This window comes from Homo sapiens, chromosome 3, assembly GCF_000001405.40.
Source record: "Homo sapiens chromosome 3, GRCh38.p14 Primary Assembly".
In the NCBI taxonomy this organism is placed as follows: Eukaryota; Metazoa; Chordata; class Mammalia; order Primates; family Hominidae; genus Homo; species Homo sapiens.
This window is the reverse complement of record NC_000003.12, coordinates 107,861,603-107,883,953: the sequence shown is the minus strand read 5'-3', so window position 1 is coordinate 107,883,953 and position 22,351 is coordinate 107,861,603. Positions and strand designations below refer to the sequence as shown.

The following is a 22,351-nucleotide window of genomic DNA, read 5'->3' as shown; positions in this document are numbered from 1 at the left end:
TTAACATTTGAGAGATCTGATCCATAAAATTTATAAACTAATTGAGCATTAATTAAATAACAAATGAAGTTAAGTGCTTAAAATTCTTACACCATTATTAGATTTGCAAATATAGCAACAAGATTTGTGAGTTAAAAGTAAAGGCTTATAAAAACTAAGTTATAAAATTTATACCTTTTGTCAGTTCAACATTAACACAATCATAAGAAACTATCAGCATTAACTTCTGTGCAAGAAAAAAAGTCACATTTTGGGAACTAAAAACCCAATTACCATTATTAAACACTGAAGAGCAATATAACTGAAATGGAGATGAATCATCATAGCTATCATTTATTAGTTCCAACCACATAACAGTTCTGTGATAAGCTCTGCATTTGTGAGTTTGTTCATTTGTTTGTTTTTGAAGGTCAGAGATAATATAACTAAAGTATCTTGCCTCTTAAGTATATGTTAAACTGAACTGACAATCTTTTTAAATCTAAAAATATTACTTCACATACCAATCACAGTTCCTTTGCTCACAGGTAACAGAAAATCGGTCTAACTGTTTAAATCATAATAACAGCAACAACAGTAATAATATAAAGATTTTGTGGTTCAAGTAATTTAAGAAACCCAGAAATGGAAGGAGGTGTACTACTTACTTGGATCTCCCTTCAAAAAAGAACAAACTATCCACGTGTGCAGGATGCCGGTAACTGACAGCCGCCAGCCAGTGGGCATTAAGGGTCCTCTACAGTGTTGAGTTGGAACAACAGTGTTGAGCTTTCTCGACAGCCCTGGCGAATAAGTACAGTGGGAGTACTAGTGTCTGGGCATTTCCGCCCATTGTCATACTCTTCCAACAAGCAGCTTTTGCTCTAGATCTCCCTTTGGTGCTGGCAGAGACTTTATGAAATCTGCATCACAGTTTGAGGCCCTTCCTGCCCAATCCTGCGGGGTTTCCCTTTGTTTTCACAGGTGTCAGGCCTGGATCAAGGTCTGAAGGGTTTTGCTGCCCATATATTTCCTGTGCCTTGCTTTTATCTTTCACAAACATTACCTCAATAAAGCTTGGACACTGGTAATTCCATCTCCATATCTGCTTACCAGATGACCCTTCAGGTAAGCTTGCTCCAGCAGTTTAATGATGTCCCAGGACCGACTTCCTTTCTGTGTCTCAGCCTTCCCCAGTGGCAGAATAGCCCTAAAACTATTTTGATAGCTTCACCATATCAACATAGTTACCAGAACAACTGGGGTGGTTGCTTCCTGATTCACAACCAGTGGATGAAGGGAGCATCTTTTTTTAGCATCCATGAAAGACAGAATAATTTTATTCTCCAGATGCTCCCCATCAAACATCTTCTCTCTTTTTGACAAAGTTTGGATCATAATGCCATCCCAACCACTGTAACTAGGGCCCATCCCTGGAGCTGCTGTGAGATTAGTCCCAACCAATCTGCATGTCCCCATCAGAAAGGGAACAGAGAGAATGAATGCTGGGGAGGCAATCACTAAATTTCCATGACTACGAACATAAGCATCCTCAAACAATATCACACCACGGAATTAGTCTCATGAAGACACCGCTGCTACTAACAATGTGTATAGAAATTGGAGCATAAACCACTAAGAATACAGGCTGTAGAGGCCAGAAACCATTGGAACTGCACCGCTGCAGTTTCTGGAAGCTGAATGTCCTGTTGCTTCTGTTCCCGGTGTTGCCAGAGTAGACTCTGTAGAGTTCTTCCTTCTTCAAGTCACTGTATTTAATTCAAACACGAGCTGGTGCATCCTGCAGGCAGAGCCTACAGCTTGAGCCAATGTACTGGTTTCAGGAGAAGCAAGGGAGAAACTGTCTATTTCATCCCAGAGTGGGAGAATGTCACCTGTGGCATCACATGCAGAAGATTCCAGATTCTGGATTCTTTTGCGTTTGCTTTAGTTCTGCTAAAGTCTCCTGTGTATGATCCTCAGAAAGACATATGAGGGTTTTCCTCAGAACCTAAATTCTGTGAGTAAAGAATGCACTAGTGCTGAAACATTTGGGGCAAGAACAAGCATCAGTCACAACCGTCAACAATCACTCTCAGTTTTAACTTCTTTGGGGAAGCTGGTTACCGTACTTAAAACACTTGTATTCCATTTTGTTTTGTTAGTAAGACAAAAATGTATTGCCTTTATTAATACCAAACCCGTAGACTTTATACAGAATAGTTGCACTATTACCTCACTATGCCTATAAACATTCATCCTGGAAAGATTAAATTTAGACCAGCAAATGTTTATTCAGCTCATAATAAATGCAAGACCTTGTGCTAGGCGCTGGGAGATGACAAATTTGTCTTAAATTGTCACTGTGGTGACTACTTAGTCATTATTTTAATTCCTTCATCATGGAAAAATTGGGTATTAACTATTCATGATCTACTTTTATATTTCACTGTCAATTTTCCATTATTTCCAATTCTACAGAACAGCTGCATAATCTTCACAATACATTTTTAGAGGTTAATCTTACTATAATTTCTCTTTTGTTCATATCACAAATATCATTTTGGAATCCAAGGCAATAGATTATTTGAATAGAAAATGCAGCTATTAAAGATGTAAATTATTCTTATACTCAAGTTATTACTATTATTTTTGTGACAAAGGAATGTTAGAAATTCACAAATGTTTGTGTATGTTTTAAGGGGATATACTGTTTATGCTTGCGTTTGATGCTAACATATTTAGTAAGTGTCAACAGCAGAGAAGCCTTATAAGAAAACATTGACCAGAGCTCTATTTTAATGCTACATTTGGCACAATCCTATACTATTTGAACTGGATAAAAAGGTAAAGGTCAGGACACATCTTTGAACTGAGCTTTGAATTGACTTTCATCTCCATATATTTGTCACTTTGTGACCCACATCAGTTTTTCCATATTGATTCTATATAGCCTTTTCATGTTATACTCGAATCTTTTCATTTCTCCATCTGAAACCAAATCTACCACATTTGATCACAGGGGTGATGAGGCTATACTTTTTACTTTTATTTTCATGGTGGTTAGCCATTACCTGGGTAAAGTTAGTAGTAACTACAGAAGAGGTAACAGTTAAGGCCTGCTTCTCTATAGTAAAACAGCCTGGGCCAGGCCTGGTGGCTCATGCCTGTAATCCCAGCACTTTGGTAGGCCGAGGCGGGTGGATCATGAGGTCAGGAGACTGAGACCAGCCTGGCTAACACGGTGAAACCCCATCTGTACTAAAAATACAAAAAATTAGACAGGCGTGGTGGTGGGTGCAGGTAGTCTCAGCTACTCGGGAGGCTAAGACAGGAGAATGGCGTGAACCTGGGAGGCGGAGCTTGCAGTGAGCCAAGATCATGCCCCTGCACTCCAGCCTGGGCGACAGAGTGAGACTCCTTCTCAAAAAAAAAAAAAAACAAACAAAAAAAACACCCTGGGTTTATCTGCACTAGCCATGTAATTTTAGGCATACCTAACCTCTGTAAGTCTTAGCTTTGATTCCTGAAAAAAAAACCCAAAAAACTAACAATAGTATATTTTCCACAGTTGACTGCTGGTGAGAATTAAGTAACATAATATATTTGAAGCTCTTTGGCTGGGTATGGTGTCTCATGCCTATAATCCCAGCACTTTGGGAGGCCAAGGCAGGAGGATCGCTTGAGGCCAGGAGTTCAAGACCAGCCTAGGTAACATAGTGAGACCCCCATCTCTATTTAAAGATGATGATGATAGATAGATGATGATAGATAGATAGATAGATAGATAGATAGATAGATAGATAGATAGATAGATAGATGGATAGATAGATAGATGACAGAGATGATAGATAGATTTCAAGCTTTGTCACACAGCCTGACAATTCATTTTTCTTGGGTAAATACCCATTTCTCTTTGGGTAAATACTTAGGAAATGGGTAAATATTTACCCATTTCTCTTGGGTAAATATTTAGGAGTATTTACCCATTTCTCTTGGGAGTATTTACCCGAGAGAAATGAAGGCATATGCCACCCAAAAACCTGTACACAATTTTTTAGCAGTTTTATTTATTATTGCCAAGAACTGGAAATAACCCAAATGTTCATCAACTGTTGAATGACCAAGCAAAATGTGATGTAGCTATACTATGGAATACCTCTCAGCAATAAAAACGAACAAACAACCAATAGACACAACAACATCAATGAACTTCAAAAGCATCTTGCTCAGTGAAAGAAGCCAGGCTCAAAGGTTACATATTTTAGGATTCTACTTATATGGCATTCTGGAAAAGGTAAAACTAGAAGGACCAAAAACAGTTCAGTGTTGCCAGAGTCTAGGGGTGGAGGTAGGAGACTGACCACAAAGGGGTACAAGTAAACTTTTCGGAGTGATGAAAATATTCTGTATTTTGATTGGGTACTAGTTACATGATGGCACATATTCATCAAAACTCATAGAACTGTACACTTTAAAAGGGTGCATTTTACTCCACGTAAATTATACCTTAAAAACCTGACATTTTAAAAAATCACTGATGATATCATTATATATTGATTAAACATTTTAAAAACATCCTCATGAACAGTGTGCCTAGCACTCAGTGACATTAATGTTAGTTGTTGTTGTTGTTACCATTGACTAAGGTGACAAAAGTATAGAAAAACAAAAATAAATTAGAAATAGTTTCATTTATTATAGAACCAAGATTAGGATCTAGTCAATGTAAGGGTCCAAAACTTTCGTTGATTCTATAAATTCAATATTTTAATTTAATCAAGTAAAATGTCTTGTGTACAATGTTGCTAAACAGTAATAATCATTACAAATAGCAATTCTGTTAAACAGATGTAAGCTGAATAATTAGGGCTGTGTGTGATACCACCTCAGATGCCAGAGTGACAAAGCCTTTCAGGAGTTATCAGGCTGCTTTTCCACCTGTCAGATGTGCACATCTAGAAAATCAATTTTTATCAATGCACTCTGAGATGATAACGTTATAGGAGACTGATTTACGTTAACGAATCTTAGAAGGCACTGATGTATAAACCCGATGTACAATGTGTCACTCAACAGAATGATAACTGCCACTTGGGTCACCACAGTACTGTGCGCTGATGTGATCATCACATTTTTTCCTTGTGGGCAGGTTTAAAGGGGGAGCCGAGCATTAATCAGCTTCCTCGGTGGGCAGGGGGTCAGAATAAGGAAGAGAAGTTAGTGTTAGAGGACACACAACCCAGGTCATAGTAAAAGTTCCACAAATCATTCCTGTTCCCATAATTCACCAGATTCAATGTCTTTCTTTATTAAACAATGTGGTATAGAAACCAATATAATCTTGTTGGTAACTCTCTTTTATGTAGATTTCATGTTCCTCACTCTTTAGTCTTTCTGCAGATCTGGTACATTACCATTGAGAGAATCAGCTTTCATGATGACAGTCACTTCTGTTCCTTCCTTCCTGAGATTTTGCCTTTATTGAATTTGGTGTTCCCAAGTCTCCTCCAATGCACACTTAATAGATATCATCTGATGTTACTTCTACAGATAATCTCATCCTTTCATGGATTGCTTTTGCTAGTTTAACAATCAAAGAGTGTTTTGGTTGCCTATTGCCCCATAACAAACCACTCCCAAACTTGGTGGTGTAAAATACCACCAATCATTTTATTATTAACTCCCACAAGTTTGGGAAGTTGCCTGAGCTCACTTAGGCGGTATTCACTCAGAGTGTCTCACACACTTGCTGTCAGACAATGGTTGACACTCAAATATTCTGAATGCTTGATGCTCACGTGGCTGGCATGTGGGCTGGGACCACTCAAACAGCTGGAATTTGGAACTTCTAGGGACCCTAGGAATGCTTCTTTGTCTCTGTGTGGTCTCTTCAGCATAGCAACAGCAGCGTAGCTGAACATCTTACGGATGGCCCAGGGCTCCAAAGGCTCGTTTCCTAAGTGAGAGAGAGCCTGGCTGAAGCTGTATTACCATTCATTCTCCAGCCTCCGAAGTCTCAAAGCATCACTTCCACCATACTCTAACTGTCAAGACAAACACAAAGGCCCAGGTAGGTTCAAAAAGAGGGGGAGTAGGCTCTGCTTCTTGATGCAGATGTGGCCAGGTTCTGGAGGAGAATGTGGGACAGGAAATATTATTGCAGTTCTGGAAAACACAATCTGCCATGAAAGGCAATCTCAACTTTCAGTTATTAGAGGACTGAGGGTATTTTATTACATACTAGTCAGATGCCTATTTTCAGGAGCACTGAATACTAAATATACGGCCCCTCAGCCCTGTGAGGTAGAGTGAAAGTTACAGGAACGGCAAATGAATAAATGAAGACATCAAGATGATTTACAAATTCATAAATTTCCCACAAAATATAATATATATATAACATAATATATATATTGGGATCTCTGACTCTGATCTAAATAGACAAATGTTTTTCAAAATGATACTTTGATTTAGAAAGAAGAATACACTATCGATGTTCCTTTTAAACAAGTATTTGAGTAAAAGCGATGTTTCCAATGTGTGTCAGAAAGTGAATACTTGTATATTTCCGCACGGTTAGAGCTGAGCTTTCCGAGCAAATTTTACTGGGACCCGGTTGAAAGACAGGTCTTGGAAGTGAAATGATGACTGACTAGATGGTAAGAGATTTTCCTTCCAGGAGGTTTGTGTTTTCATTTCAAGTGGGGGATGAGACCCAAAGCCTTTGAGACATTCCAGAGGTTGTAAACTCAGAGACGGTTGTGTCTTCTTTCCTCATGGAGACATGTATTTATATTTCAAAGAGCAGCAACCCAGAATCCTCCTTTTTTTCTCAAGGAGAATTTGTTTACATTAGGTAGATTCAGTTTGCTTCTCATCCTCAGAAGGGGAAATTTTATACACGCTCCCAGGTTCATATTTTTGGGGCTTCCTCACGACAGTACCAACCCCATTACATGTAGAGTGGCCTCCAGCTCTGTTCACATCACTCCAAAGGGAAGCATTGGGAAAAAGGGCAGCTGAGGAGATTGTTACTGTGAGTAACTAACAATCTCTCAGTCCCACAAATCTCATGTCTATATAAATACAGAAATCAAAAATTTATCAATATGAAAACAGTACAAAATATACCCAAATATGTCTATTTAAGTATATTATTTTGAATTCTCTTTTTCTTGCTGATAAATTTAGTGTTGCACTGGTTTTGCTCACAGAGGAAATTAGAATTCACTGAAGTTTCTTTATGTGTACAATTAAGGGGCTTGTAATATATTCACAGAGTTTTGCAGCCATCACCAGAGTCAATTTCAGAACATTTATATTCCCCCCCAAAATAAACCCCATATCCATTACCAGTCACTCTTCATTTCTCCCCACCCAGCTCCCAGCCCCAGGCAACCACTAACCTACTTTCTGTCTCTCTAAATTCTTCTATTCTAGACATTACATGTAAATGGAATCATACAATATGTGATCTTTTGTGACTGGCTTCTTTCACTTAGCATAACGTTTTCAAGGTTTGTTCGTGTTGTAGCAGGTATCAGTACTTTATTCCTTTTTATTTCTAAGCAATATTCCATTGTACAGATGTACTGCTTCTGTGTATTCATGCATCAGTTGATGGACATTTGGGCTGTTTTCACCTTTTATTATTGTGAATAATGCTGTTGTGTTATTCATGCATGTACAAGCTTTTGTGTGGACATATGTGTTTATTTCTCTTGGGCATATACCTAGGAGTGGAATTGCTGGATCAAATGGTAAATCTATATTTAACATTTTCAGAAACTGCCAGACTGTCTTCTGAAGTGGCTATAATATTTACACTCCCATCAGCAGTGTGTAAGTATTTCAGCTTCTCTACATCCTCACCGACACTTACTATGTCTTTTTTATAGCATCATTGTATTTTTTAGTTTGAATTGTTCATATACTATCTTACTTTTATTTGTATGCATTTTGCAACTTTAGTACAAAGCACCTTCACATAAACTCTTTGTTTCAATTGGTGTGTGAGATAGATATTATTTTCTCTAAAATCAAAAGGGTTGAATGTATTGCCCCAAGTCATATAATTAATAAATGGCCTAGCCAGAATATTCTTCAGCCTAGGTCTTCTAATTCAAACCCTCAGATATTTTTCCTTTTCTACCCAAATAGTCTGATCAAGTGATCATTTCTTTGGTCTTAGAGATGTGAGAAGGGAGGAAAAAAGCAACCAGTAGTAATCATGACTATTCTCTGTCTTCACATTTTGTCATTTGAGAATCAGCTACACATTTTCACCATCTCCTTCCATTCTACCCAATATCAGAAGGAACTTGATGAGGAATTTGCCTGTTGAGTAGTCACGTTACATGGAATGATCACCTTTTCTTCCCATCTTCATTGCCCCAGTTAAAGGAAAGATCGCTTTCAGTTTCTGAATACCCATGGAAGGACATGGTTATATTATGTCATATCATTATATCTGACCCAGTTTCTAAGGATCCAGTTGCTGATATAAATCCGAGGTTGGATCTTGCTTCATACATTACCTGGCTTAAATCTTCACCCAGCTTTCCAGGGGTTTCAACTGTATTAAATTTCCCTCTTTCTCGTTCTGAGAAAATGTTCTCATGAAAAAACAACAACAACCACCTCCTAATCTCCTTCCACTATCTTTGGGAATTTTGGAGGCCTGGTCCAGCAGGGTGTCTTCTGATCTGATGTTCAGATCATCTCCAGGCTCTGCTGTTCCTAGTGACTCCATCTCTGGCACCTCCTTGCACCAGTTGACAACTGCTCCAATCCTACCTTCTGTTTCTGGAGCTGCTTCTTCCCTCTGCTAGGCTTCAAAGGACCTTCTCCCACTCATCTGAGAAGGTTTGCATATGGTCCCAAAGTCTGTGCTTCTTAGGGTTCCACATTCTCTATTTTGCTGCCACCAGGGAAGATTTAAGGCAAGGTATCCCAGAGATGAACCAGGAAGCTACTCACTACAGTTCCACACATGGCACCAATGTGCCTCCTTCTGAAAGGAATCAGAATGTGCTTTCTCAAAGGAAGCCTCTTTGGCATCAGGATTATTTTGAGCTGAAGACAACTGAGAATCAGCAGATGCTAGACAAGTTCTCTGCCCTTCCCTTATGTGACTAAGGACAAGGCATAAATTTCCCATTGAGGAAGGTACCCTGACCCTGCACCCACCACCCTGTACCAGGAAGAGAAAAGGGAATCTTGTCATCAAAAATGGGGAGTCAATACCAAGATGAGTTTGCATAAACAGACCTTACTAAAATAGCTCTTATGTTCTGTCAGTTCCCCCCATATATTTCCTAGTCACTTCCCCGCAGTTTATCATCCCTTGAAGCCCAAACTCTCTTTCTTTTGTCAAGAAAGGAATACAAGTTTCCTGGTCAAACCACTTCTCTGAGCTTTACTTATTTTCTTTATCTCCTGTACACATAAAATATTAATACAAATTGTGTGTTTTTTCTCCTATTAACATGTCTTTTGGTAGTTTAGTATTTAGGCCCCCAGTTTCTGAACCTAAGAGAATAGAGAAAAAGCTTTTCTTTCCTGATGCTTCACTAATGACAACCTTATGTCCAGAAAGGGAAAATCACCTTTAAATTTATCCATATCAGGGTACTTTCCCTAGGGACTAAAAGATAGTCTTTGATATCTCCTCTTTACCTGGACGTCTTAATCCAAGGGGCCATGATTATAGGTCCTGAAGTCCTTTTGACTGGACCTATCATGGGGGTAGAAAAGCCTTACTTCCCAGAGAAGACAGGCACAGACCCAGTAGGGATCAGTGTGCCTATTTCATGTCAATATAGTATGAGATTAAAAGTTTGATGGAGTCAGAAATTTTTTATTTGTCTCTTCCACAGTGCCTTTTTAATAAGTGTCAGTTGAATTGAATTCTATTAATCCACAAAGATCCAATTTAAAGACAATGAAACTCTCTGGCCTGCTTAATTTAGTTTGCATCTCACCATTTACAGGAACTACTTGTGCTAGAGACCACAATTCAGAAATGGAGTATTTTGCTATTTATGTCAGTAGGCAAAGGCACACCATTGCCCTGCCCCTGAGTGGGCCTATTTATTTTATTGTTGTTATTATCATTATTATTATTGTTATTATTTAGACAGAATCTTGCTCTGTCGCTCAGGCTGGAGTGCAGTGGCATGATCTCAGCTCACTGTAACCTCTGCCTCCTAGGTTCAAGCGATTCTCCTGCCTCAGCCTCCCGAATAGCTGGGATTACTGGCGCCCACCACCACACCCAGCTAATTTTTGTATTTTTAGTAGGGACCATGGATCTATAATCACCATGTTGGCCAGGCTGGCCTCAAACTCCTGATCTCAGGTGATCCGCCTGCCTTGGCCTCCCAAAGTGCTGGGGACCTATGTTTTAAGGACATTTGAGGCAGGAAAGAAAGCCCAATGATTTAAAACCTTCACATGTAACCACTACATTTTCTCTAATCTTTGAAAGTAAATCATGAGCTTTTGTCAGTCCCACTTTCACTAGGTTTTCAGGCAAGGCTGTGGATCTGAGCTACAGAGACAGTGAAATGAGGCAGGGCTAACAGGTTTTTCTCATTACCGTTATAGTAGTAGCAACACAATTACAGTCATGCACCAAATAAAAATGTTTTGGTCAACAATGGTATACAATGATGGTCCTATAAGTTTATAATGGAGCTGAAAATTTCCTATCACCTAGTGATGTGGTAGCCATTGTAATGTCATAGCGCAACACAGTACTCATGTGTTTGTGGTAATGCTGGCGTTTGTTTATAACAAACCTACTGTACTAATAGCACATACAATTATGTACAGTATATAATACTGGATAATAAATAGCTATGTTACTGGTTTATGTATTTACCGTGCTAAACTTTTTATTGTTACTTTAAAGTGTACTTTTGCTTTTTTTGTTGTTTTTTAGAGAAGGGGTCTCACTATGTTGTCTGGAGTGCTGTGGTGGAGTGGAGTGGCTATTCACAGGTAAGATCATAGCCAACAACAGCCTTGAACTCCTGGGCTCAAGCAATCCTCCTGCCTCAGCTTTCTGAGTAGCTGGGACAGGCAGGCACCACTGTGCCCAGCTACTTATTTAAAAAAAGTTAACTGTAGCCGGGCGCAGTCGCTCACGCCTGTAATCCCAGCACTTTGGGAGGCTGAGGTGGGAGGATCACCTGAGGTCGGGAGTTCGAGACCAGTCTGTCCAACATGGAGAAACCCCATCTCTCCTAAAAATATAAAATTAGCTGGGCGTGGTGGCCCATGCCTGTTATCCCAGTACTTGGGAGGCTGAGTCAGGAGAATTTCTTGAACCCGGGAGGCGGAGGTTGCAGTGAACCGAGATCGCGCCATTGCACTCCAGCCTGGGCAACAAGAGTGAAACTCTGTCTCAGAAAAAAAAAAAAAAATGCTTACTGTAAAACAGCCTCAGGCATGTCAGGTATTCTAGAAGAAGGCATTGTTATCATAGGAGATGACAGCTCCGTGTGTGTTACTGCCCCTGAAGACCTTCCAGTGGGACAAGATGTGGAGGTGGAAGACCATGATATTGAAGATCCTGTCCCTGTGTAGGCCAAGGCTAGTGTGTGTGTTTGTGTCTCAGTTTTTAACAAAAAAGTTTAAAAGGTAAAAAATGTAAAAATAGAAAAAAGCTTACATAATAAGGCTATAAAGAAAATATATTTGTGCAGCTGTACAAAGTGTTTATGCTTTAAGCTGTGTTATTACAAAAGAGTCAAGTTTTAAAAAATTAAAACGTTTATAATGTTAGGAAGTTAGAGTAAGCTCATTTTATTATTGAAGAAAGAATTTTTATTATAAATTTAGTGTAGCCTAAGTGTATAGTGCTGATAAAGTGTACAGCAGTGTATAATCACGTCTTAGGCCTTCACATTCACTCATCAGTCATTCACTGACTCACCCAGAGCAACTTCCAGTCTTGCAAGTTCCATTTATGGTAAGTGCCCTATAGAGGTGTACCACTTTCAATCTTTATTTTATTTTATTTTTTGAGACAGAGTTTCATTCTTGTTGCCCAGGCTGGAGTGTAATGGTGCAATCTCGTCTCACTGCTACCTCCGCCTCCCGGGTTCAGGAGATTCTCCTGACTCAGCCTCTTGAGCAACTGGGATTACAGGCACCCGCCACCACGCCTGGCTAATTTTTGTATTTTTAGTAGAGACGGGGTTTCACCATGTTGGCCAGGCTGGCCTCAAACTCCTGACCTCAGGTGATCCACCTGCCTTGGCCTCCCAAAGTACTGGGATTACAGGTGTGAGCCATCGCACCCAGCCCATTTGAAATCTTTATAGCATATTTTTATTGCACCTTTTCTATGTTTAGATATGTTTACAGACATAAATACTTACCATTGTGTTTTAGTTGCCTATAGTATTCAGTACAGTAACATGCCATACAGGTTTGTAGCCTAGGACCAATAGGCCATACCATTTAGCTTTAAGCAACATGTGACTGTACTTGATAAGTCCCAACATAGGGCCAGCACAGGAGGCTACTCAACTGGTTCCCCTGATATGCATGAAAGATGATACCCTATGAATAAGTAAAATTGTACTGAACTGAGAAAGTCCATCCTGTGTTGATTCTATCCTCAAATGTAAGCTGCCCTCCAGCAAATTACATAGACATTCAAGCAGGAAAGCCAGTTAAATATCAATCCTCAGAGAACAGTGATGTTTCCTGAATAAATTACCTTACCTCTTAGCAACACTCAGTTTTTTCCCCTTGACTCAATTCTCACCCACTGAGATACGATGATGCTCAGATCAGATAATGTAATGTGGCTGCCTGGATGAAAGTAAAATCCCCTCACAGAGGGGCATTTACACTGGTGAACTCACATAACGAATGGTAACTGCACTTTAATTGGTCTCCACTGTTTAAATTCACAATTACTTTTGATTAGGATATGTTTACAGCAAGATGAGAGACTAAGTAATCCCACAAAGGAAGATATATATTATTCACATTTGTCTGAAAAATTAAATATACTTTCAGAATTATTCACAACCTGATATTTCAGCAAAGCTAATTGTTCCCAGAATGGTGTTCAGCAATTACAAAATAAAGACAGGAAAGGAAATATCCACATTATAGGTTATTTCAATGACTTGGGAATTTTCTCATATGTAACATTTATAGACATTTCCATTTAGCCCTAGTTTAAGTCACTTATTAACAGATATAAGAAGAAAATTAAAAAGAAGGAAGGAACAGAAGACTTTTTCTTTTCAAGGTAGCTATAGAGATTGTGTCACCCTAAAGAGTCAAGCTTAGGGAGGAAATTAATTTATTCAAAACACATTTGTTGAACTGCTAGGGATAAAAATTGGTGCAACCTACTTTGGAAAACTGGTGATTTCTATGAAAGTTGGAAATATGTGAAACCTATTATTTATCAATTTTTGCCTTAGAAATGCAAATATATGTGCACCAAAATACATTGTTAAGAAAAACTGATGGAAGGCCCTTAGGCTGAATTGGCTCGACTGCCTTGGGTCTTTTACATAAGCAAGCAAAAGCCCAACTCAATGTAAACAGTAAAATGAAACTTAAGCTTAACTAATCAGAAACCACCAAACTAACCTCTAACTAAGGACTTTCCACTTTAACCAGTCAAATATATTTTCTTGGTGTTGCTTCCAAGAACACCTTATAAAAGCTTCCCCCTCATGTCCTGTGAGTAGAGCCCAACTGCTTGTGTTCTGATGCTGCCCAATTCATGAATGGTTGTCTGCTCAAATAAACCCTTCAAAATTTTAATGTGTCTAAATTTATCTTTTAACAACATGTGTCAGAATGTTTATAGCAACACTATTAACACTATTGATAATAGTCCAAAACTAAAAACCTAGAGGTCCAAGAACAATTGACTGGATAAATTATGGTGTATTTATACAATAGAAAGTGATCAAGCTAGGAAAATAAACTACAGCCATACACCCAAAAATACTTAGATGAATCTTACAAACATAATGGCTTATGAAACAAGGAAACACAAAATGATGCAAAATTGTATTATTCCATTTACATAAAGCTCAAAAATAGGCAAAATGAATGTATGGCATTAGGACTCAAGATAGGTGTTAGCTTCGAGCAAGTGAGAGGCATTGAAAGAAAACATAAGGAGTGCTTCCAGGGCTCTGCAAATGTTCCATTCTTTGATCCAGAGTGCTGGTTACATGGGTGTGTTTACTGTCAGAAATCAACTGAGCTGTACATGTATGACTTGTGTAATTTTCTACATTGGGTAATGTTAATTTAAAATTTTACATTAAAAAATAAACCAAACAATTTTGTATATGCTGGGTACTGAGTGACAGAAGAAAATAATGAAGACAGAGCCCTGTAGCAGCTCACAGCCTTGAGAGGAGACTGGCATTCAAGGATGAGATTTTAAATAATAGTGAGTCACTGAGAGATAGTGTGGCAGCTCCAGAGCAGGGGCCTTGAAGTGGGCAATAGGAGTAGGGAAAGAAATCAGGAAAGATTCCTGAGGGAGGTGAGGTCCATCTGATGCTGAAATGACAACCAGGAATTATATGGTCTAATAAAGCCAGTAAGGTAGCTATAAAGGGGGAAATCCTGAGGGGCCCCTGAAAACAGGGAATATAGAGGAGCCTGTTAGTTCTAAAATGGGGGTTTTAACGTTTTTGCAAGGTCTTTGACTGTGTCTCAGTTAATAATAGATGAAATCTTGAAAGTTTCTGCCTGAGAATTAAGATCACCTATATCAACACCATTGTAAACCTACATGGGATATGGCACCATTTTTTAATTTCCTCCTCTTTTCCCTACTAAGAGATTACATCTCTTTTAATCACTAACTACTCCACAATGTTTACACAGAAATATGCACCTATGGACTTGAGTTTTGTAGGATTTATTTAAAGCCAGTGAGCTTAAGTCCTTCTAAGGGAAAAAGCATTCCACATTATGAGCATCTCAAGAACTTACAGCAAATTGCTGTCCTTTTGCAATTTGATTTATAATTGAATTAACCAACCTCTTGCATGGGTGACCTTAGCTTGTTCTCTGCAGCCTCTACCTGCTGGCTCAGTTTCAAAAGACTGTTTGATGAGCAGCTCCTTGAGAGGAACCAGAAAACATCCCACCCACAGTGCTTGTTAAGGGAGCTTGACCTGAAGCCCAGAAATTAAGGTTTTAATATTCTTATCTCAAGAAAAAGGAGATACTTAAAAATAAAGTGCTCCTCTTAAATACTCAGATACTAAGGCTTCTACACTCCAACACAATAGGGTTTCTTTCTTGGGAGTTGCTGAGTCATGCTCATCCATTCCTTTTTTCAGGAACTAAACTAGAATATTTGACAAAATCCTTTAATTCTTGTTCACATGCACCTCCCCTCCCCCATAAGGCTTGGGGTGCCTACTCAAATTAAGTCCCAAAGACTGATCACTTGGGTATCCCAGTTCTTCCAAGTAATTATGCAGATTTGGCTGCAATATGTCCCTGGGTCAAAGCTATATATTGAAAAAGAGCAAGCTATATCACCAAGAAGGAGATGGGATTTGCAAAATCCCTTCTCTAGAGGAGAAGTCATAAACTGAAGTCTTGGGATAAGGCAGAGGGGGGAGGAAGAGGTGGAAAAGCTGATCTGAATCTGTCAAAATCTTGCTCAGTGTTGCTTAGGATGAGGGAGGCAAGTGCAACAGAGCCACACTCCAAAGAAACCCAGAAGTGGAGAGTTGTGGTACTCAAGAAGATAAGTATTATCAGGATCACACACAGGAGAAGCTGGGTAGACAGCATCCACTGGGCTCAGGCAAATCTGCTGTGAATACCATAGCACTGCTGCTTTCCCACTGGGCCCAGGACTTGACAGTGCTGAGAGGCTTCTCCATGCACCATGACACGGTAGTCAGGTAGTCAGGGGCAGAACAGCAAGCAGTACCAGGGAGTCCCAATTCCCTGCCTAGGGCTTTGCCTGGGCCAGTGGGATTTCAGGAGTCACAGCACCCACCAGCTCACCAAATATTTGAATAGAAAAATTGGTAAGAGGCTAGTTTTAGCAATGTTACAGACTAAATAATCTGAAAATTGTCCATCTACCAAGAAATGCCAAGAGAACATAAATTCACATCCTTATACATTTTCATTTGAGAATAGTAGAAAGTAAAGAAAATTCCCAAAGGCCAAAAACAAAAAGGAAACTGGAAGCCAGAGTAGAAAATGCATGAGATGATGCTGTGCCAGCTGTGGAGATAGAATGGTGCCTGCTTCCATTACCTAGGGGCTTGGGTGTTAACCCCATAAAGGAACAGGAACTGGGACTTACATAATGAGGCAGGGAGGACTGAAACTGTGTCCATTCCTCTTCCACATGAATCCAGGATTCTTGGAATGGACTGTAAAAGTCTGGAATCAAGACTTTGTGTTTCCTCTCTAACATGTAAAGAGCTTAGAAGTTGTCGCTATTGCCCTTACAACAAAATGAAGCTGGACAAACTGAAAATCAATGACTTTTCTTGGACTCACTATACAGCTGAGTTTGCAGAGTAAACCACTACCCTGAAATCTGGAAAGGCAGGTGCACCCACAGATCCTCAGCTGAGATCCAATTACCTGAAATAGAAGCTGCCATTAGGAACACTTAAAAGGTAATTTTAATGAATTGCTGGAAGCTGAGTGTGGAATAACCTAAGGGTCAGAAACTCCTGGAAGACATAGTATTGGGGCCCAGGTGGGGCACATTTTTCAGGGTCATTACCTCCAGGGACTCTACCAGATTCTCCTGGTGAAGATCTAAGAGAGATTCCCTGATGACTCTGACTCTGGCTGGGAAGAGGGCAGGGGTGGGCCAGGAGATCATTGTGAAATACACCCAGAGATCTCCCGGGGAAAAGACTTTGTCAGAGCCTTATCCCAGAAAGAGAAAGTACATTTCTCCAACTCTAGCTCCCTTTAATCTTCTTGTTTTCTGTAAAGGGGCTTGGGGCATGGGGAGGGAGAATAGAAGTCAGAGTTTGAGGAAGTAGATTGGGAACACTGCAGCTAGGAAAAGAGTTGGAGACTGGTGCTGGGGGCGGGACGGGGGAAGCTATACTATTGGAGAAATATTTCTGAAGGTAAAAGACTTGAAACATAGACTCAATAATGGACTGAGATTTAATTTAATTGGAAGATTATAGAACATTTTCCCTCCCATACATCTTAGTGCCACACAATCGGGGCTCCAGAATAACACTGGATACAGCTAAAGGAGCTGCAAAACAGAGACTGAGGATAATGAAAGCCCTAAGTCACGAGTGGAGACAAAGCAAGGACACTAGACGAATTTGAAGCCTCTGGCACCTACAGCTACAGAAAACATTAAACACAATCTGTCTTAATCTGTTCAGGCTACTGTAACAAAATACCTTAGACTGGGTAACTTATACACAATGGAAATTTTTTCGTTCACAGCTCTGGAGGCTGGAGTTCACCATTCAGCATCTGGCAAGAGCTTGGGTATTAATCATTTTTGCTTTGAAGATGGTGCCTTTTCACTGCGTCTTCACATGGCAGAAGGGATAAATGAACTCCATTGGGCCGCTTTTATAAGGGCACCAATCCCATTCATGAGGGCTCCGTCCTCAAGACCTAATCACTTCCTAAAAGCCCCATCTCTTAATACTATTGCACTAGGGATTAGGATTCAACATTTGGCGAGAACAGAAACATTTAGGCCATAACACAGGTAAATTCCTAGCCAGATCCTCATACAGGCTTGTTTACCTCAATCCATATTACCTGACACAACATTTTCAGCTTTTAACAAAAGATTACAAAGCATACCAAATGGGAAACAAAAATACAATCTGAAGAAATAAAGCAATCATCAGGATCCAACTCAGATATGAAAACGTTGAAATTATAAGACAGAATTTAAATAACCATGATTAAAATGGTAAAGACTCCAATGTAAAGAGTATACACTGTGTAAAAACAGAGGGCAAATGTAAGCAGAGACATGGAAATTCCATGAAAGAACTAAAAGGAAATATTAGAAATCAAAAACTTGGTAACAGAAATCAAGAATACCTTTAATTTGCTCAACAGTAGATGTTACACAGATAAGGAAAAAATTAGAGAGCCTTAATATAGGTCAACAGAAACTTCCTAAACTAAAATGCAATGAGAAAAGAGAATGTATGTATTTTTTAAAGAAGTTGTGCTCACATTTGCCTTTTTTTTTTTTTTCTTATATGAATTTATAGGGTAGACATGTAATTTCGTTACATGGATACATTGCATAGTGATGAAGTCAGGGCTTTTAGTGTATCCATCACCCAAAGTAACTTTTTATTATCCACCCCCTTCCAATCTTCTCCACTTTTCCAAGTCTTTACTGTCTGTTATTCTGTACTCCATGTCCATGTGCACATGCTATTTAGCTCCCACTTGTAAGTGAGAAGAGGTGGTATTTCTGTTTCTCAGTTGTTGCACTTAAAACGATGGCCTCCAATTCCATCCATGTTGCTGCAAAAGACATTTCCTTCTTTTTTATGGCTTCATAGTACTCTGTCATATATATTTATATAGTGTGTGTGTGTGTGTGTGTGTATATATACACACACCACATTTTCTTTATCCAATCATCTTCTAATGGCCACTAAGGCCAATTCCACTTTGGTATTGTCAATAGTACTGTGATAAACATGAGTGAAGGTATCCTTTTGGTACAATGGTTTCTGAGAAAAGATAATTTAAAAAGGAGAACAGAACATTCAAAAAAATTGTAGAACAATTGCAAAAGGCATAACGTGTGTAAATGAAATATTAGAAGAAGAAAAAGAAGAAAGTAAAGTAGAAAAAAATACTTGGAGTAATAATGGCTGACATTTTCTCAAAAATAATGACAGACACCAAACCACAAATTCTGAATGCTCAAGAAACACCAAGCAAACACCAAAAATGGACTAAGCATATCATATTCAAATTGTATAAAACCAAAAACAAAAAGAAAAATATGGAAAAAAAACAGGAGAAAAATCTTATCTATAGAACACGAAGAATAATAATTATAAAAAAAATTTTGATTGCACACCATGCAAGCAAAAGAGAGTGGAGTAAAAGACTTAAAATGTTGGAAAATAACCCCACCATCCCAGCATTCTATATGCAGCAAAATTATCCTTCAAAACTAAGAATGAAAAAAAGATTGCTTAAACAAAAACTGAAGGAATTCATCATCTGTTTTGCAAGAAATGTTCAAATATTCTTCAGGCAGAAGGAAAATAATACATGTTAGAAATTTAGATCTTTAGAAAGAAAATCATCGGAGAAAGAATGGATGAAAGTAAACCATAAACCATACCAATTTATCAGTTGATCTAAGAGATAATTTAAAACAATAATTACACCAATTTATTGGGTAATCATAGCATATCAGTAAGTGAAATCAGGCTAGGCATGGTGGCTTACACCTGTAATCCCAGCACTTTGGGAGGTCGAGGGGGGCGGATCACAAGGTCAGGAGATCGAGACCATACTGGCTAACACGGTGAAACCCCGTCTCTACTAAAAATACAAAAAATTAGCCAGGTGTGATGGCAGGCACCTGTGGTCCCAGCTACTCGGGAGGCTGAGGCAGGAGAATGGCATGAACCCGGGAGGCGGAGCTTGCACTGAGCCAAGGTCGTGCCACTGCACTCCAGCCTGGGCAACAGAGCAAGACTCCATCTCAAAAAAAAAAAAGTGAAATCAGTGACAGCAATATCTCAAGTCACAGGAGAAAGGAATTTAAAATATTCTCTTGTAAGGTCCTTGCACTACCCCTAAAGTAGAATAGGGCTATTTGAAAGTAGACTTGGATTTGTTGTAGGTGTATACAACAAACTCAAAGGAAACTACTAAAAAAGTTGTGTAAAAAAAGTGTAATTGATATTCTAAGAGAAGAAAAATTTGAAATAATATAAAATGCTCAATTAAAAGCAAAGAAGGCAGAAATGGAAGAGGAAAAAAGAAAGTATAAATGCAACAGATAGAAAAGTTATAAACATGATAAATATTAATTCAGCAACATCAATAAGTTGATATTTAGATATAATTATGTATTTAGATGTAATTATCTAAATACAGCAGCTAAAAGACAAAGATTGTCAAAGTGGGTTTTAAAAGATCCAATTATACATTGCAGCAAGAAACTCACTTCAAATATAAAAACCCAGATAAACTGAAAGAAAGAGATAGAGAAATACATAACATGTTAGCGCTAATTTAAAAAACTGAAGTATCTTTATTAATTTTAAGCAAAATAGGCTTCAGAATAAAAATAAGTCAGTATATACTTGTTATTATTTGAATAGGAAGGAAAATACCAGAAGAAATACATAAAATAATTGGAAATGATTGCCTCAGATATTGGATGATGACCAGGTACCAAGTGCTTTCCATTATAATGTTAGTGGTATAATTTGATTCTTAAAACTATGTGTGTGTATGTATTACTTTCATATAATATTATTTAAAACAGGGTATAGTCATATAAATGTATCTTCTTAGCAGATTAAAAGAAAAAACTATATAATCTTCTAGTAGATGAAAAAAAGAGCACATGATAAGATTCAGCATCTTTTAATGATAAAAATCTTAGCAAAATAAGAAGAAAACTTTCTAAACCTGATAAAGGATATATATATAATAGGAACTCACAAAAAACTCATAGCAGACATAATTCTTAAAATTAAAACATTAGAAGCATTCCCTTTGTAGTTAGAAAGAATCTAAGAGTTTCTTTTATCACAGATTTAACCAAACATTATGCTGGAGGTTCTAAACAGTACAATAAGATAAAAGAAAGGTACTAAATTTATAAAGCTCAGAAAAAAAGAAAACTATCACTACAGGTAATATGATTGTCTCCAAATGAAAACTGAGAATATACACCAAATCTCCTTAAGCTAATAAGAAAATTCAGCAAAGTTGCTGGACCCACAATCAACTCACTAAAACTGATTTTATTCATATGGACCAGTGACAAATACGTGATTGAAGGATACCATGTGCAATAGCAGAAAAACTCCAGATATCGAGGAATTATGCCAACACAAGATGTGCAAGATCTTTACCAAGACATATAAAAGACCTAAATAAATGAATAAATGAACAAAATTCATAAACACAAAGTCATATTGTTAACATCTGCCAATAGGAAGGTGGACAAATAACATGGTTTATTTAAAAGTTGAATGCTATATAGCCGTTAAAATGAGTAAGTTATAACTACATGCATAAATATTGATAAACCACAAAAAGGCAAGTTGAGTATAAAAAGCACATTATAGAATATAAAATTATACAACATGTATATTTTAAAACATGCAAAACTGTATTTTGTTTATAAATACACATATGTAGTAAAAATATAAACATCAAATATTGGATGGAAGTTACCTTTGGAGTGGGAAATAGGACAGTATTTTCCAAACTTTTCACATGTAATAATTACCTGCAGAGCTTACAAAATACTAAAGGCTGCCTCTCCCAGACATTCCAGTTTAATTGGTAGGAGGTGAGACCTGGGAAATGGGAGTTTTAAATTTCTCCAAGTGATTCTAATGTGTAGCAAAGTCTGGGAAAGAGTATGAGTTAAGGGCAGTGTCGTTTTAAAGGTAGCTTCAATTCTAATTGTGAATTTCTATTTCTTAAACTAAGTGTATTAGTCCATTTTCACACTGCTATAACTGAGACTGAGTAATTTATAAAGAAAGCAGGTTTAATTGACTCTCAGTTCCACATGGCTGGGGAGAGCTCAGGAAACTTACAATCATAGAGGAAGACAAAGAGGAAGCAAGGCAGGTCTTACGTGGTGGCAGGAGACAGAGAGCACTCAGGTGAAACTGCCACTTTAAAAACCATCAGATCTCGTGAGAACTCCCTCACTCTCACGAGAACAGCATGTGGGAAACCAGGGAAACTGTCCCCATGATCCAGTGACCTCCCACCAGGTCCCTCCCTTGACACAACAGAGATTACAATTTGAGATGAGATTTGGATGGAGACACAGAGCCAAACCATATTAGTAAGTATTGGATGAAATATCAAAAAATGGTAAGACTTAAAGTCAGGTGACAGATATAAGGGTATTTGCAATATCATTTTCTATATTTTTCTGCTTCCTTGGATTTTCAGAAACGGGAGGGAGGGAAGGAAGAAAGGGAGAAAGGGAGGGAGGGAATCATAGTCTATTCCTACTGACTCAGTCACTCATACCAGTGCTATATCTAGCTGTTCAGAATGGAAGATCATACCAGTTCTCTAGTTCAGCTGTTGTCTGTTTACCAAATTTGTTGCCACTTAACTGGAACACAAAAGTGGTGACAAG

The 22,351-nt window shown here is 38.3% G+C and overlaps 2 long non-coding RNA genes across 3 annotated transcripts in view; one reads left to right on the top strand and one right to left on the bottom strand.

Moving 5' to 3' along the window:
- Window positions 1–749, bottom strand: part of LINC00636 (long intergenic non-protein coding RNA 636) — a 45,703-nt gene extending 44,954 nt beyond the window's left edge. The window contains exon 1 of the long non-coding RNA NR_015394.1: window positions 648–749. This is a non-coding gene — a long non-coding RNA (long intergenic non-protein coding RNA 636). The remainder of the gene's footprint in view (window positions 1–647) is intronic.
- Window positions 750–5,885: 5,136 nt separating this feature from the next.
- LINC00635 (long intergenic non-protein coding RNA 635) overlaps window positions 5,886–22,351 on the top strand; it is a 36,407-nt gene continuing 19,941 nt past the window's right edge. For both annotated transcript variants that reach the window (NR_024276.1, NR_015414.1), the window contains exons 1-3: window positions 5,886–6,052; window positions 7,768–7,824; window positions 10,928–10,986. This is a non-coding gene — a long non-coding RNA (long intergenic non-protein coding RNA 635). The remainder of the gene's footprint in view (window positions 6,053–7,767; window positions 7,825–10,927; window positions 10,987–22,351) is intronic.